Source organism: Homo sapiens, chromosome 4 (assembly GCF_000001405.40).
Source record: "Homo sapiens chromosome 4, GRCh38.p14 Primary Assembly".
NCBI lineage: Eukaryota > Metazoa > Chordata > Mammalia > Primates > Hominidae > Homo > Homo sapiens.
This window is the reverse complement of record NC_000004.12, coordinates 148,773,052-148,791,874: the sequence shown is the minus strand read 5'-3', so window position 1 is coordinate 148,791,874 and position 18,823 is coordinate 148,773,052. Positions and strand designations below refer to the sequence as shown.

General features: G+C 38.8%; 2 long non-coding RNA genes across 3 annotated transcripts in view; one reads left to right on the top strand and one right to left on the bottom strand.

The window, feature by feature from the left end:
• Window positions 1–8,031, top strand: part of LOC105377481 (uncharacterized) — a 51,454-nt gene extending 43,423 nt beyond the window's left edge. For both annotated transcript variants that reach the window (XR_007058322.1, XR_001741437.2), the window contains 3 exons: window positions 838–1,050; window positions 4,880–4,976; window positions 7,909–8,031. This is a non-coding gene — a long non-coding RNA (uncharacterized LOC105377481). The remainder of the gene's footprint in view (window positions 1–837; window positions 1,051–4,879; window positions 4,977–7,908) is intronic.
• Window positions 1–18,823, bottom strand: part of LOC107986195 (uncharacterized) — a 496,338-nt gene that overhangs the window by 240,984 nt on the left and 236,531 nt on the right. The gene's annotated exons all lie outside the window — the stretch shown is intronic.

Genomic DNA, 18,823 nt, shown 5'->3' with positions numbered 1-18,823 from the left:
TTCGAAAGAAGGACACAGCAAATAGGTACTTAACTAAAGTAAGTGCTTTCTCCCATGGTTTTATCAATCCAAGTCTATGGACATAATACAGAATCAAGAATCCAAGGAAACTGCTCTGAATTTCACTGTAAGCATAGCTCATTTTTTTGACCTGTTGATTGCAGTTAATTTAACGTCACGACCTGCACCTCAGAATCTCTCATGTCCCCTGCAGCTTTGTCAAGATGCTTTGTATATAGCTGGTACCCAGAGAAGGTTTGCCACATTGCACGGAGTTGATCACCCATTTTATTCACTGGATTTGGCTTTGAGCAACTTACACTTTTTTCTCTCCAAAAATTAAGTCCACCCACGAAGGAAAAAGGCAGAAGGATGCTGTGGCAAAAATGCTATCCTGGAAAACAGATCTTGGCCCTGGTCCCAGCTCTCTGTGACTTTGGACACATCAGTTGATCTTTTTAGATCAAATTTCCCCATAAAAGGGGGTACTAGACAAGATGCATGTGCCAGACTGCCAAGGCCAAGGCACACCCTAAGCCACTCATAGTAATATCCCTGGAACTGTAGACCCTTGCAGAGAGATTATAGAAGTGATTTTGAATAATTATTGAGTTAAGTGCTAGCATTCCAGCATGACCGCTTCAAAAGAGGTAATGCATATTTTTTTTTGTATTTTTTTGGCTTTTTTTAAAGTTACATTACTTTAGTGTTATATGTCATATAGTCATTAGGAATTCCAAGAGAGCAAATGTCAACAAAGGTCTGAAGTTGTTTGGCATTTTATCAATCATTATTTAGAGTTTTCTTTTTTTCTTTTTTTTTTCTTAATGTGGTTAGGGACACAGAGGTTCATGTGATGTAATAAGAAAGAAATAAAGGAAGCTTTATCTGCCGCTCTTTCAACCTCATCCACTCAACACTTACCCCGTGACAGACCCCAATACTCTTAATGAATTCCCAAGGTTACGAAAGAACTTGGAAGATCTTACATTCCTACATGGTGATTACAGAGGCTCACATTTTGCCAAGTCATATGCAGGTGGCTGAAAAGTAAGTTTACTTTATCTGCATTTCATATTACACTTGTTCTTTCTTATGAATGTTTCTTTCATAGTCATGCAAAGTACTCAATCAGTAATTCCCCACCAAAATGGTTGTTACATAAGCGGCCGTGCAACAATGCATATGTCAGCTCAGATTCATGTCAGAGAAAGTTCTCTAGTTTATATAACTCACTCCCCAGCAGCCAGTACACAGTTCAAAAAGTGTGGGCCTTTACATTATGGCGGGAGGGAGGTTATTTTGTTTTGTTTGTTTTTTTTTAACACATCACATAAATACACTTCCTTTCTCCTTTGTAACGTATGGGATACATGGAATTCCTAACTCACACAGATCTCACTGTAGACCCAATGAATGGCACGGAGCCGACACAAACACCCACACACTTGTCTCAGTTACAGATCTCTGCTAAAGACCAGAAGTTGGCCATTACTATGAATATACACTTCTGTTGGATTTCTATGGTATTTGGTTTCATTAGATTGTATGTTAAGTTAAATATGTTTTTTAAAGTTTCATTCTCCTACCTCAAGTTACGGTGCATCAAGGGGTCTCAGAGAGAAGTGGAGCTGCCACCTCAATGTCCCGACCCCAGAGAGGAGCCTCTCAAGCCACCCCAAGGCAGCTGAGCCCCAGCTCGCACCAGATCACTGTGGAGCAGAACCAATTTTTAAATGTCTTCATCTGGTCCCTCCTACTTTTATGGTGCTCTGGGGGTGGTGAGAATCGGGATGCACTGAAAGCTGCTGGGACATCTGACTCTTTATTTTCTTGGCTCTACGTGTCTTAACTCTGCACCAATCCTCCCGACTGTGCAGAATTTCACTTTGGAGAGCAGAGGCAAACGGAGATTCACACAGAGGGGCAGGAGCCGTCAATGCTGTCTAGTGAGAGGAGAGAAGAGGCATTGTAAGTCCCCATAGCACTGCTGTTGGGCTACCCTGCCAGTCAATGCCACTTTTCCCACAGGCTCCAGCCTCAACTTCCCCTGGTGCAATATGATGATGGGAAGAAGGGCTCCTAAGAGGAAACTGATTTAAGTATCTCTGTTTTTCAGAAAACACTTCCAATTGCTCTCTCAAGAATGCGTTTCTATTTCATGAGTTGATGTCATATTTTTAGGGGGAGGGATGTATGGAGAGAGAAAACTTTCAAATATCTGGAAATCAGTGGTATGATGAGCCCTGTTCTCTGCTGCTCCAAGTACAATACCAAAGCATGTGGTGGAAGTGATGGGACAGATTTGGTTCCATATTAGAACTTCCTACTTGTATGTTGAATTTTAACGGATGGCTGGGAGTAACATCCACTTTACGGAGGTATATAAGCAAGCTCCAGACAGTAACTTGGTATGGAGACTATGCCAAGGATCCCATTGTCAGAAGGGAAGTATGGTGTTGGGGAAGGATATTTCTCCCTCCCCTCCCCATAGTGCCATCCTCTGCTTATAGAGGAGGAAATAGCTACCCAAGCTTTAGCCCCTCCCGCTGCCCTATGGAAGGAATACATTCCACTCTGAACTAAAGCTGGCATCTTTGGTGCCACATTTTAACAGAGGGTCGAGTTACTGTATCTTGAGAAAGACATGGGTACGTCATGCTTCCTTCCACTATCTGTACCCACTCAAAGTGAATCGTTCCCCACTGTTCTCTTTAAATTTTTGCTTCATGTAGCAGAGATTCAGGGTCTCGCTCCCCTTCTCCTCCTGACACAAAAGGCAGTCAGACTGAACAGTGGGATAAGCCCTGAAGATGGCTGGGAACAGCCACCGGTGGAAAGGGAACCCTTCTTTGCTGCCTTTCTCATTGCCCCAGCACTGCTAAGTGCAGCAGATTGGCCTTTTTCACATTGCAGGGATGAGATCCTCAGGATTTGAGAGGGTTCATCTGGCTTCCAGGATTAAACTGTGTTTTCAAATCGATCTTTTGACAAAGCCCAACAATAGAGTTATTTCTGTTTACCCATGCATTTCTATTAACCCAAGGTGGTGCCTCCTTTCCCACTCAGCTATCAATCTTTGTATGTATAATCAAACCCCCAAATATATCTCCAACCAAACTTTCACAACTACAGTGGCACACTCACACAGAGTGATCTAAATGGAACACGGGTTTTCTATAACCACAACCAAACCATAAACGGCATTTTATATACATTATCATCCAGAAAGCAATCAGATTTTTTCATAGCAAATGGTAAGATATAATAAAAGGAAATTTGAGAATTATCATATAACTTATAATGTCTCTTTTAGCCCTAAGGTCCTAAGATTCAGTGACATGTGGTGTTTTCTCTTTTTCCTACCACTTTTTCAGCTTAATTATTATCTACAGAGATTAAAAACACAACTAAAATTTCTGCAGATTCACAGTGCTATTTCAGAATAGATTTTACCCCTTAGTACCTTCTATTTAATCAATTAATGAGAATACTTTGGAGCCCACTGCAGAAACTATAAATTCCAAATGGTTCCTCAGAACATGTCATCATCAAACCAGTTAGGCTGGCGTTGGTAAATACCACAGCCTGCAGTTGCCATGTGTTACAAAAACAATAAACAGATACCCTTCATACCTCTCCCTTCCCTAAAACAATTATTCCTATAAAAGTCTGTCTCTCCAGATTTTTTGTTGTGGTGTTTCTGATACCAGTACAATCAGAAAGTAATGAAAGTGTTCACTGAAAGGAAGTTTTCACTGAGCATTGCAGGCCAATGAGAATGCAGATTAACTCAAATAAACTTTGGAATGCCAGCCAAACCCATGAAACTTGTCAGCAGTTCATCTACTGAGAGTGGTTATGCTTTTTCAGTAGTACCTTATCCTGAAATAACCTGATGGAAAAGCCAGTGTCGGATGACACATGACATCAAGTGTTCAATGCAAATTCTGCTGGCATACTATCCTGTTTGACTCCCTTGCTCTTGAGCCTTCCACAGTTGGTAATAAGGAACTGAGTACCTTTGCAATCTCCAGTAAAACATGTGTGATGGAAATGTAATTCCTTAGGGAAGCAATTCCCAATGGCATACATAGATTTGATTTTTGGGTTGAAAAGTAGTAAATGACGAATTGAAGTTTCTTTTTCTCTACTTAAAAACTATTCTTGACATTAATTTTACTTGTATTTGTTAACCAGTTTACATTTTATTTTGTTACTGAGACACTCAAAAGTGTCTATATTTTAGTCAAAGCTAAAACTGAAAGACTTTAGCAAATTGACTTTTCTCTTTCTCCCAACAAACATTAACTCAGTATTTTACCTAGCTTTATTTTCAAATATGGAGTTTTATAGCACCTTGATTTATAGCTGGGCGTAAGAAAAGGTTATGTCAGCATTTACATTATAAGGCCATGGTTTTGTGGTTTATAACTAAGCCATAAAAATAATTCTGACTAAAATTTGGAATGCCAGTTTCCACCTTGAAACGCAAGTGTGTCCCTAGCTGTATGACCACACACACACACACACACACACACACACACATCAGAATTCAACAACTGCTGTTTTGTATAATACATTTATTCAATATATTGCTTTGATTAAAAATGAACTCAAAGAAAGTCAAGGCTATGAAGTGAATTCAAACAAAGCTGTCATCTAATGGTAACAACTTATATCCTAAGATATATTTTAGTAGATTTGAAAGTTGATTTAATGACAAAAGAATTTACTGTATAGTTTTCATAGTTAAAGAATAAAGGACAGAAAGATGAAGTGAGACCTCCACACACAAAAAAATAGCCTTTTCTTAATAAGAAATGTTTGCAACATTCTTCCACGCTGTATGGTAGATATTCTCTGAATCTCTTTGCAGATGTGATCTAACGTCCTTGAACACATTTATTACAATCCATCATCTACATGGCAACAGTCAGGGCCATGCTCATAAACCAGAACTGGTGCTAGATCTGGTAAGTCATTAAGCAAACATATTCCTGTGTTGTGCGTGGCGTGCATGCCCACTGCCTGCCTATAAAACGGAAATAAGATTTCTGATTTGCAAATTACCTCCTAAGACATGTAAAGCTAGCTCCTTTAATCCACATTACTCATTTTTGTATTTTGACTGTTTCAAATGCTAAAACAGACCTGAATACAGTTTCCACAGTTCTCTTTATAATTATTGTATTTTTCATTTACATGATCATGAAACCTGTTAGCAAGTGAGAAACAGAATCATTTTCACTGAGACAAAAAATATTGAGAATTAGGGGGAGAAACTCTGAAGCAATATAAACAACAGAGTCTAATCTTATCAAAGAGAGAAGGCAGTTGGTGAATCTGAAAGATCACTTACTTACCACTCAATCATAGAACTTATACCCCCAAATAGGATTTAAGAAAGAAAAAAGCAATTTAGTAGGAACTGGAAGTTATAGGGCATAGGTCTGCTTTAGTTGGTGACAAAAATTATGCCTCAGAGGTTAAGAGCATGGATTAGGGTGCTGGGTTGCCTGGTTTAAATCCTAGCTCTGGCACTTACTACTGCATGGTCCTTGACCAGTTATTTAACTACTCTGTGCCTCGGCTTCCCAGTGTGGAAAGCAGAAAAACAGTATCTCCCTTACAGAGAGGCTTTAAAGTTTAAATGCATTAACAAAGGGAAAATCCTTTCAATGTTGACACATCATGAGTGTGACATAAGTATTACCTATTATTTTTATTATGTGACCAAATGTGGAAGAAAAATTCTATAAGAAAGTAGTAACATTGTTTAGTCTTTCAAAAATCATATATTCTCCTCCAATCCTGGCTCTCTGCAATTCAAGAAATCCTAACAAATAGAAAACCTTTGTACACAGGAGAAAACGGAGATGAGCAAAGGCAATATTTGGCTTATTTGTTATAACCCTAATAAAACAAGACTGCTTGAAGAAATAGACCAAATTGTGGAATGTTTAACATTGATCCAGGACTGGCTCTTCTGAGGAAAAGATATAATATTTATCATGTGGCCAATTTTGTCTGTGAAGATAAGGAGGAACTAATCGGTCTCAACTTCATGATGTTGCTTAAAGGAGCATATAAATGTACGATCATAAGTATCCTTTAAATGAAGGGGTTGGTTTTATGACTGCAGAAGTGAGAAAGAGTAAGGTCATTTAGCCTGAGCAACACAGCAAAACCTTGTCTCTACTAAAAATTAAACAAAACAACCAAAAAATCACTCAGGTGTGGTGGCGCATGCCTGTGGTCCCAACTACTCAGGAGGCTGAGGTGGGAGGATTGCTTGAGCCTGAGAGGTGGAGGTTGCAGTGAGCCTTGATTGCGCCACAGCACTCTAGCCTGGGTGACAGAGCAAGACTGTCAAAAAAGGAAAGAAAAGAAAGAAAAGAAAAAGAAAGAAACTAAAACAGAAAGAAAAGAAAGAAAGAATGGGAGAGAGAGAGGAAGGAAGGAAGGAAGGAGAAAGAAGAAAGAAAGAAAGAAAGAAAGAAAGAAAGAAAGAAAGAAAGAAAGAAAGAAAGAAAGAAAGAGAAAGAAAGAAAGGAAGGAAGGAAGGAAGGAAGGAAAGAAGGAAGGAAGAAAGAAAGAAAGAGAAAGAAAGAAAGAAAAAAAGAAAGAAAGAAAAAAGAAAGAAAGAAAGACAAGAAGGATGAAGTTTGAGGTTATTCTACTCTCAAAAGAAGTTCCTAAGCTGTTGTTGAATGTGATCCTGGTTACATAGGAAAACAGAGACCATTACCCTTCTTTTTCTGGACACGGAAAAGGGAGGAATGTAAGACTGCACAATTCAGTTAAGAGAATAACTCAGGATGATTTTGCTGCCATCCAACCTAGAAGCAGCTAGGAAAGTAATACTTTACCTGTTTCCTGACTGCAGTGGTTTAGTCTGACACATGCTTTTGATTCAAAAGCATGTACCAGACCAGAAGACAAAACACAAAGTAATTTGATCAAAGTGATCCCTGTGGAAAAAAGCTCTATTAGTCAACTTAGCATGAAGACATATTTGGATTATTTCCTTCAACAATGGAGCTTTCCAGACATAGAAAAACAAATCTTACATGGTTCTCCTCCCATATTTTCCTATCAATCAAGAGTCAAGTTGGGAATAGGTTTCTGGGTGCTGTCACTAACCACTACCAAAGAAGTTTTGGTTGCCCACTTCAAACAAATGGAACTCCTTCCAGGGAGGAGACCAATGATGTTTAATTACTGCCACAATATGGATCACTCCACCCATGAGCTACACTCCACCTATAAAACTGAGCCTTATGTGTGTAAAGCCACTTGATATATACCTTCTTCCCCAAGTTTTTATGACCCATACTGAATGAGTGCAATGGCAAAAAGAGGCAAGCTTTCATTATTTTCTGTGTAATTCCTAAGCTTGTTGCATTAAAAAATAAAGCTGTGGTTGCCCCCCACCCTCAATCAATGTCCTTGCATGTTTTAGCATTATTCAGTCCTTTAGCCGGGCATAGTGGTGTGTGCCCCTATAGTCTCAGCTACTCAGGAGGCTGAGGCAGGTGGATTGCTTGAACCAAGGAGTTTGAGGCTGCAGCAAGCTATGATCACCCCGCCACCATCAGTCCATCCTGAGCAACAGAGCAAGACACTATCTCTCAAAAAACAAAAAAAAAAGGATTCAGTTCTTTTCCCATCTCTGCTGTTTTATTAGAAAATAAAGTAATTACAGTTAGAAATATTAAAGCCCTGTTTGAGGCTAGGATATGGCTGAAACAAGTTCTACTCCTGCAGAAGAGTCAGGATGTCTTATTATATCTCTTTAAACATCAGATGTTATAAGGGGAATTCTGTGAATCAGTCCTCCTGCACTTATTTCTCCAGTTGATGTGATGTCTGTAATAGCAAGCTTCCCTTTTCATTTCCTTTCAGCACTAAATGATATCAGCTGGTCAATGTATCAATGAAGCTTCTCCTGCAAAAAATGTCTCCCTTATTTTGGTTTCATTTGATGCCACAATGGTAATATTAGGAGAAGGGGCTGGGTGTGGGGGCTCACACCTGTAATTCTAGCATTTCGGGGGATGGAGCTGGGAGGATCGCTTCAGCCTGGGCAACATAGCAAGACCCTCATCTCTAAAAAAAAAATTAGCTAGGCATAGTGGGCATGCCTGTATTTCCAGCTACTGGGAAGGCTGAGGTGAGAGGACCACTTGAGCCCAGGAGTTTGAGGCTAGAGTGAGCTATGACTGTGCCACTGCACTCCAGCCTGGGCAACAGAGCAAGACCCCGTCTCTAAAAATTGTGTGTGTGTGTGTGTGTGTGTGTGTGTGTGTGTGTGTGTGTGTGTGTATTAAGAGATGGAAGATGTACTAGGAATTTGGCTCCACTTCACTTCAGATGGTCTGAATACCAGCATCTGTATCACCTGTCTGACTCTTTGGCATGGAGAAACTTAGGCACTACCCCAGACCTACTGAATCGTAGTCTGCATTTTAACAAGAACTGAGGTAATTGACATGCGTATTAAAGTTTGCGAAGCACTGGTTAAAATAGCCAGGGGTTCCACTAGAAATCGTAACAAGGTAGTTTCCCAATACTGGTTTCAGCAACAAATCAAGATCATTATAATTAAATTTAAGTAGAAAATTTTTTAATAAGTTACTTTTTTTTGGTAAGTCTACATTATATGCTAATTAGTTTTGAAGATGTTTTAATGATTTTGATAGCTATGATATAGAACTTCCACAGAATGTGTAAACTCGGAATTTTAAGCATTTGCTTACACATAAATTATAATTAGTTTTAAGCACTGTTGGCAGAAAAACTGAAATCTACAGATAATTCTTAATTTGGCATTCTTCTAAAGAGCATTTTCATCCTTCATTCAAAGTTTGGATATACATTACAGACTGATAATAATTGAGGTAAATGTTATCTTGCAAAGTTAACTAGTGAATATGAACTTTTAGTTTATTTCTATGAGTGATACATGTACATATACAAGGTTACCTGGCTTTATTCTATATTTTTCAAATGTTGATTATTCACTCATTTAACATGTGCTAGGATTGTTCGAGGCAGGGACATTCAGCAGTGATCAATAAAGACAACATTTTTCTCCCTCTCTATAGGAGGGAAGACAGGCAATTGATAAAAATATAAAAGTAAAAGCTACAGTGTGTTTAATGGTGATAAGCGCTATGGAGACAACAAAGCAAGGGTGATATACAGATTGCTGGGGAAGAAGGGGTTTGTGATTTTAAGCAGGTGGACAGGGAAGGCCTTGTGGAGAAAATACCATTTCATCAAAGTCCCCAGGAAGGTGAGGGGTCCAGCTTTGAGGCTGTTCAGGCAGGGAGAACCAGCAAGTGTGATGGTCTGAGGCAGAAGTATGTCTGGTATGTTGCAGGACCAGCAGGAGGTCAACAGGGTGGGGCAGAGAGAGTAAGGGCAGAGCAGGCAAGGTCTGTGAGATAAAGGGTGACGGGGCGATCGGGCAAGTCTGATAGGCCATTGGAGGAGCCATTCACCTGAATTGAGACGGAAAGGGATTGGAGTAATGTGAGCTAGCTTATGTTTTAAGAACTTCAGCATGTCTGCCCACTGAAGGCATACATGCCTCAAGCTACAGGGGCAAGGATAAGAAGCAAGGGCATGTACCTTCCCTATTTCCTCTCTCCAACGATATCAGATTCCCACCCCTTCCCAGTCACACATGCACTTCTCATTATCATTATGTTCATTTCTTCTAATCAATGCATACAGAACTATAGACTTAGAGTGAACTGAAAGTCTAGATAATACAATGCCTCATTTTAGAGATGAGGAAACTGAGGCGTGGAAATCGGTATGATATTCTCAGCTCACCAGCTGAGATTGTGGCCCAGATCGAACTGGATATGTTGCGACTTCTATTCCCATTCAGGGGCTCAGCGTGCAGCAGTTAAATGGCAGGGGCTTTGGCACCAGAACAACCAGGATCTCAGTTACATAAACTCTCCAAGCATCAGTAAACTGGAAATGACAAGAATAGTGTTTACCCTTAGGATTGTTGTGGTGATTAACTATATGTAAAGCAAACCAGTAGAGTATTTGAGAGATAGTTGGTGATCAAAAAAGCAGAGCTTTCATTCTGCTTCCCACTATCACATCGTCACGTGACAGCTACTAGAGGTCAGAGTCTGTGTTGTTCGAACTGGTCAGTTTAGCCCACTGTACAATGCTCATGACAGTACTGATATTAACAGACAACTCTAAGATTGAAATAAAAAAGTAATACATTCACATACTTAGCCATTTTGCTCACTATCCACCTCTATATCTGTCTAGAAAGAGGCTACTGAGGAAAGACAGACACCACACAGTGGTTGATTTTATTTGTTAGACTATGCTTCTATATGAGATGAATTATGAATTAAAATTGTAATAATAGTAGCTACTATTGAGTTAACTCCTACATTTCAAACACTGTACTAGGTACTTCATATACATATTAAATCATTTATACTCCAAACGAAACCCTACAGGTGGGCATAAAATATGCTCATTTGACAGATGGAAAAACTGAGGTTCATACAGATAAAGCCACCCATGCATGTTGACAATAGTACATGGTAAAGATGGCAATAGAAACCAACTGTGTCACCCAGAGGAAGCTACCTCTCTAGGGATACACAAAAAATAGCTAATAGTTACAATTTATTAAATGCTGATGTGTGCCAGGCAGTCTGTTTGTCAGTTTACATACTACTCCATTTAATCCTCACAGAAATCGGTACTGTTGTACTTTATAAAGAAGGAAATGGACTGAGAGGGGGATTAAGTAGCTTGACGTGAGTCACTCTACTCCTTGAGCTGAAACCAAGATTTGAATCCATGCTCTCTGACATGGTTTGGCTGTATCCCTACCCAAACTTCATCTTGAACTGTAGCTCTCATATTTCCCATGTGTTGTGGAAGGGACGGGAGATAATTATCTCCCAGTGGGAGATAATTGAATCACAGGGGCGGTTCCCCCATACTGTTCTCATGGTAGTGAATAAGTCTCATGAGATCTGATGGTTTTATAAGGGAAAACCCCTTTCACTTGGCTTTCATTCTCTCTTGTCTGCCTCCATGTAGGACATGCCTTTTGCCTTCTACCATGATTGTGAGGCCTCCCCAGCCATGTGGAACTGTGAGTCCATTAAAACTCTTTTTGTTTATAAATTACGCTGTCTTGGGTATGTCTTTATCAGCAATGTGAAAACAGACTAATACACTCTCTGACTCCAGTGCCCTAGGTTTGGCCTACTGTTGTGTGACTCATAGGGCCAGATCTCCTGTGGCCATCTCACCAACTAACTATTCTGCTGATTATAGCAGCCCAAAGGGGCACCTGGGGAGAACAGCTATGACTTTTTGGGTCTTATCCCTAAATGTTGCTTATATCCCAATTTTCTCAGTACCAATTTAATGCTCAGTCATTAAGAAATGAGGAAAATGCCTTTAGCAACATTCCAGAGAATGTTCTTCACGATCTTAGAGTGGTGGTAATTTAACAACTTTTCAAGCAAAGGACAGGTCAGATATGTTTCAATCTGCTCTTCTCACTTGTATTTCCTTTGTAGAGCATTTTAGTCCATATTTGAATGGGTTGCATTACCAAACCCAGATTAAGCAGTTCGCCAGATGGGATCAGCCCCACCAGGGTCCCAGTCCCCAGCCCGTGGCTGCTTGTTCTAGTGGACAACCTGAGCCATCACCATTGTCCCTGGTCCTCACACCATCAGCATCTCAGTCTCTGCTACTGCAGTGGCAGCAACACTGGCGCTTGGGACCAGGTCCAAACTGAACTGACATATAAATCTATAATTCCTCCAACATTTCCAAGCTTAAATGATGCCCTACACTGTGGTATGCGCGATCTGTTTCCTAAGCGATTTCCTGGAGGGGCAGGTAACAAAGTCCAAAAGTATAATGCCTCATTGGGTGAACTTTGGCCAGTGAGAGAGGAGAGACAAGAAGGAAAAGCAAGTAAATTTTTCTCCTTTTCTCTCTAGGACAGGGATTATGAAACAACAGCCACAGGGCCAATCTGGAGCACCTCCTATTTTTATAAATAAAGTTTTATTGGAACACACCCATGCCCATTTATTTACTTATTGTCTATGGCTGCATTCATGCTATAATAGCTGAGTTAAGTAATTGTGACAAAAACTATACGCCCTGCAAAGTCTGAACTATTTGCTTGATGATGCTTTACAGAAAAAGATTGCCCATCCCTGCTCTAAGGGACTACTCTAGGGCAACAACTGTCTGGAAAATACTGTGCAGAACCAAGCAATCAACTGCTTTTCTGCTGATGCTATGGCCAACTTGCTTATGTACTTTTTTGTGTTTGCAACTCCTCCTTCGTGCCTCGCTTTCTTTGCACTTCATTCCTGCCTTCCTGAGATTGTATCTACCAATAAAGCCTGGGTATGTAAACTTTGTCAAAGGCTCCACTTTCTGGAGAACTGGAGATGAGGAAAGCTATACATCTACAACCCATATTCATGAATTTTGTTCTTCCAGATGCCTTTTTTAATAAGTTGCATTAATTCGTCAAAAACAATACAATCATGTGCCTCATAACGACATTTAAATGATGGAACATGTGGACTGTTAAGAGTATAATGGAGCTGAAAAATTCCTATCACCTAGTGTCAGTGCAATGCATTACTCACATGTTTGTGGTGATGCTGGTGGAAACAAATCTACTGCACTGCCAGTCAAATAAAAGTCTTAGCATATACAATGATGTACAGTCGTTATGTACATAATACTTGATGATGATGTTACTGGTTTATGTATTTACAATACTATACTATTATCATTATTTTAGAGTGTACTCCTTCTACCTATTAAAAAAAAAAGTTACCTGTAAAACAGCCTCAGGCAGGTCCTTCAGGAGATATTCCAGAAGAAGGCGTTGTTATCACAGGAGAGGGCAGCTCCATGCATGTTATTGCCCCTGAAGACCTTCCAGTGGAACAAGATGTGGAAGGGGAATACAGTGATACTGATGATCCTGACACTGTGTAGTCCTAGGCTAACATGTGTGCTTATGTCTTTGTTTTTTAACATAATATCTAAAGAGTAAAAAATAAAAGTAGTAAAACTAGAAAAAAACTTATAAAGATATAAAGAAAGAAAATATTTTTGTACAGCTGTACAATGTGTTTGTGTTTTAAGCTGTGTTATTACAGGCGTCAAAAAGTTTTTAAAAATTTAAAGTTTATAAGGTAAAAAAGTTACAGTCCTGCAAGCTCCACTCATAAGTGCCCTACACAAGTGTGCCATTTTTTATCTTTTATACCATATTTCACTGTACCTTTTCTATGTTTAAATATGTTCAGTAACACAAATCCTTATGATTGTGTTACAGTTGCCTACAGTATGCAGTACAGGTATATGCCATACTGTACAGGCTTGTAGCCTAGGAGCAATAAGCTATCCCATATAGCCTAGGTGTGTAGTCAGCTATACCACCTAGGTTTGTGTAAATACATCCTATGATGTTTGCACAAATACATTCTATGATGTTTGCACAATGACAAAATCACATAACACATTTCTCAGAATGTACCTCTGTCATTAAGCAACTCATATCTGTATAATCATTTTCTAAGTTCTGCCATATTAATTTGAATACATTTTATAAAGCCATCATATTTGTCAGATCTCTGGGGAGTATACTTTGAAAAATCAAACCAATTTTATCCATATTATGTATATCTTTGGGAGTGGTTTTGCAATCCAGGATTTCTCTTGCCCATAGTGTCATTTACTTGGCAGCACACAGTTGGGAGTCACTTGTGCTTTCCATGGTCATATTTAATGAGCATATGGATGGCAACCTTCATCTGTCCTGGCTCAATGTCATCCCTCAATGTCATCCCTCCTTCTTTGTATTTTGATGCCCCAATAACTAAGTCTACCTACTCCTGTAAGTTTCTCTGTTCTTATCTGCTATACTTTTTTCTATCAGTTGCAAAGATTTAATATACAAGTTCTATTACAACACCAACAAAACACTCATTTTCAGCCGAAAGAAAAGCATTAGCTGCTGAGGCTGATAAGTAATTAAATGCAAATTACAGAAAGCTGGCATAGCCAAGGAGCCTTCAAAAATGCATGTTGTCATTTGCAGTGTTGTCCCCAATACCCTGCTAACTAAAAAGCTTCTCTAACGCCAACTGGAGTTTGAGCTGAGCTGTCAGTCTTCTTAAAGCCAAGGATGAAAGAAATAAATTCTGTAGGTATATCAGATATTTAGTCTAGGTCTTCTCTCATCCCCTCTCTGTATCTCTGGTTAAGATAATCTAGATGAGATCAGATCAGAGAATAAGAAATTCACCCTATCAGGACCATTTGTTGAGTCTGTCTTCCAAAGTGCTAAAGTAATCTGAGACTTCTCAATCAATTTCAATCTTGAGACATTTTTGGAACAAAATTGTGGAAAAGGAATTGATTTGGTTCCTTCCTCAAGTTCTCCTCCAGTCTCTTGAGCCAAAATGATCTTTCATCCAACTATTGAAAGAACAACTTAACAGTTCTTTGTTATCCTTTCCACTTTTTTAGTTGTAGGTGACCACAAAAGAAATCATGATTGCACTAAGGAAATAGAGATTAAAGTGAAATGATGGCAGCTCTACAGAAAGCAGTGACTGCACTTCACTTTGCAGTGACTGCATTCCTTTGAGCCTTCTCAGCCTTCTCATCTGCTGCCTTTCATGCTTGGGGAAATTCATTTGTGAGTTTGGAATGTGAAACAAAATCTAAACTTCACTAAAATGTTATAATGCTTTGGTTTAGCCAGCGAACGTTCTCTTTCACTTCAATCCTGTTTAAATATCCATAGCAACTCTACCTTCGCAAATAGAAACTAATTCACAGATCACTGCCTTAGCTTGCATGGAAGCACAGCCTTAAAGAAGCCATAAACATTCTAATTAATAAATTAAAGTATTCCTTTGGTGTTATTATCAACGGTATACATCTGCTTCACTTACAAAAGCAAGTTAGCAATAAGTATTTACAACATTTGAAAAAAATCTGGAAATGTGTAATGCATTTGGAACCAAATGTAAGCCCTTGAAATTTGGTTAATTTTGTTCTCACTGTGTGAAATCCAGTAAAGGTCAAATCAGATTTGGGGGAAAAATTATACAAATTGGCTTCCCTTGTGATTATGCATAGTCTAGAGAAGCCCATACAAATCATGCAAAAACACATCAAGGGATTGTTTCCTTTTAATCTTGGTATAGCAGTAGTTACCTCTATACTTCCTGGGCTTTAGAATAATCTGTTAGAGGTCTAGTACAGGACCTAAATATCTAGATTATTACAGACAAAATATTCTGATGGTTTTCAAATACTCTCATTTTATCTGGATGTTTCAATAAGTATTAATACAATCATAGGCTTATCGTCCCCAAACTAAAAGAAAACAAAAACAAGGAAAAAGCCATTACAATTTCTCCTGGACTTCATTTTAAAACTACTTATTTACATGTCTCTGAGCCCTTTCCAGTATGTCCAAATCTGCTGTAAGTTTTAGAAATAATACTCTCACTAAAATCAGTATTAAGTGTAGCAAGAAGAAAATTATCATTCCAATCAAGGATCTATTATTAAACACAAAATTTCCCAAAACAATATGATTGTAGTAGTTATAGATACTTATGCAATTAGAAACAAGACCTTATAAACATCTTAAAAGACATTTTACTTATGTTGCTGACTTCTATAATTTGTAAAATAATTTAGGCCATGTAAATTTCTAATATTTCACAGTGCTTTACTTGTGTGAAGAATCTAAAGAGATCAGATTTCCAGAATCTCAGAGATCTGGTCCCACCCTATTATTTTACACTGTGCACTAAGACAAACTGTGTCTTGCCAATATCGCAACATTGGACTGGAGTCCTGCACTCTTTAGGCCCCAACTTAGTGGTCCAAAATTACTGAGGTATTGCTACTAGGGCCACAGATTCTGCTTCCTAATAGCGGGTGATAATGGAGCCATGTTTACCCTTCAACACCATCATACCACATTTCAACCTGCAAAGAAACCCTACTCCTGTGAGAAATAGAAGAGACAAGTGTGATGCCATATTTGACTCACCAGTACTGTCTTGCAGGCCCCTGAGCAGCGTGCTCTGGCAACGAATTACTGCTCCTTTATGTTGGAGCTTTCTCACCGAACAACCGACATGGTGTTCACTCTGAATCCTTGGCCCCAGACACCTACAATTTGAGAGAATCTTCCACAGGTTGTTTAGCTCAGAGGTCCTCAAACTCAGTGTGGAGAGAAGCCATATTGAAATATCTAGAGAAATTTGAAGGCAATGCAGACTCCTATGATGGGGAGAGATTCATGCTTTTCTCTCACTAATTAAAATGCTGCCCAGCCACATTAAACACCATCTATCTATTAAAGAAAGCCTTAGGAGCTTTATCATGTAAAGATATGTTAGGTTAGACAACATGGCAAGCTCTCAGCATTCACAGATTTAACATTCTTGGTTTTACCAACAGCAAGTAACTTCGAAGGGGAAAAATTTGAGCTGGACATGATGCAAGTGTAATGCTTATAACCTCATCATCCACAGCGCAACTTACATCTATTATTCTCTACTTGTGCCAACACAGTACAGATCAGATCATGAGGTGATATAAATTTTGTTTTCCTGTGAAAAAATATTCCTCAAAAGAGAGGGAGTTGCTAGTGCTAGAAGCAGAAATGAAAGAGAATGTGGAAGAATCTAAGTTCTGCATCTTAGACTATAAAAAGTTTTATGGGAGAAATAATTCATTACTGTGATATTCATCAGTTTGAGTATTTACAAAGCCTTCCCATGTCTTCCTCTTGAATTTGAAGAGTCTGTTGTAAGCCTAGAATTTTATAATCATCATATAATACCTCAAGCAAACTATTTATGAGACTGAAAATTTAGGAAACCAAGCACAACCAATGCAGTCACCAAGTCAGCAAAGAGAACAGTCACAAAAATCAATGTTTTATGAGGGAACCACCACATAGAGATGGGATATCAGTTCAGCCTCATTAAGCATTGGCTTGATTTTCACTTATCACAAAGTTTTGGAATGTTGTATGTTAATACAGGTAAAGAGAATGGACTTTGGGTAATTTTCATCGAAGAAAATTATTTTACATTTTGATATATTTTTAGATGCACCTAGAGAACTCCAAAGTTTTTTAAGTGAAAGAGAAAAACAGCGTAAAATCATCATACGATCTGATTGGTTTATGTTCTTTGGCTTGAGTGATTACTGGGTGCCTTATCTTTTTTTATGTACTATCAAAAGAGCAACTGTCTTTAGACATACAATGTATAAGGTTATATAAAATTCAATGGTAAGTCTCAGACCTGAAAGGTCTTGCAGACCATTACAACTGAAGATAAAGAATGGAGGAATTATTTGGAGGACTGAGAACATTTCATTACTCTCTGGAGTGCAGCCATAGCCAGCCAATATAAACCCTTTCGTGAAGCGGCACCCATCTGGCCTTTATAGACTGGCACTAAACTTCCATAGGCAGTGTCATCCATCTGGCTTTTATGAATGTGTGATGTACTGGGTTCAACTCAAATGATAACACCTGTCTCTATAGATAAACCAAAGCTAATTTATACGTATCTCTATGAATTACATAATGAGAGACCTGGCTGGTAAAGGTTATTGGTGGCCATGTTGCCCTACCACCCATCCTCCACCATCTATAGTTATTTTAGTGGTTCCTCTAAATCTTCATAAATGCTTCAGAAAATTTATACTATTTTATCACTGTGGGTGTGTGTGCATGTGCAAAGTAAATCTTTATGATTGTTTTCACCTGTTCAGTGATGGTTCAACTGTTTCTAATTAAACACATTTTTAAAAATTTGAAATAAGAGGAGGTTAACCTTCCAAAGTCTATGCTAATTTTCACCAATTCTTCTGGAAATACATAATGCTGCAGAACCTGCTTGGCATGTAATATTGAGATTCTTTTCATCAACTGGTATGCTACACACACTGTCAAGAATCTAAATCTTTCCAATTTATATGCCTGAACACTTGAACAACTTATCAAAGAAGATGCTCATTTCCAAAGCAAGAAGTGATTAGTCATATTAAACATTCAAGACATTGAATGAAACAGAACACTTTAAAAATTATAAAGTAAACACATCAAGAATAAATTCTTATCCCTCCAATAGTTTAACTACAGGACATCAGGGCTTTCATCAGAAGTGAAACGCAGTGTTTGCTTCAGTAACTAAACCAATGGTTTTGCACTTATAGAACAGCTACAATGTCAGGTAAGATTAACCATTTGCTGGGGCACTGATCTGGATTCTTGCGTAACCCTCTTGAATCAGTGTCCAACTCCTCCTTGTCTTCTCCTCAGCCTCCATTCAAAATAGACTCTAGTGGGTAGCCTAGAGTTTTCCCACATAAAAACACACTGACCCCAAGATACTAAAATAAAGCATTGGTAACAACAAGCAGAAATGTGATCTCAATGACAACAGTCCAGTGTATCCAAGAGACACTGCTTCAGCCCTCTAACCAAAGTAGATCTTCTCTGAGACTACTGATGTGAGTGATGTGGTGCACTCCCTAGTTTTCTCCTCCAGAGTGGAGAGAAAACCAGGATGCCAACTGCTCACAAAATACTGATCTTGTCTTAAGGACACACTATATGCTTCATTACTTCTCCATACTTACTAGAATTCCTCATCGCCTCCCAGCTATTTATTTTATTATCTAGCTATTACACTCTGCTAGCTCTCTCAGAAGAGTTTTTGTA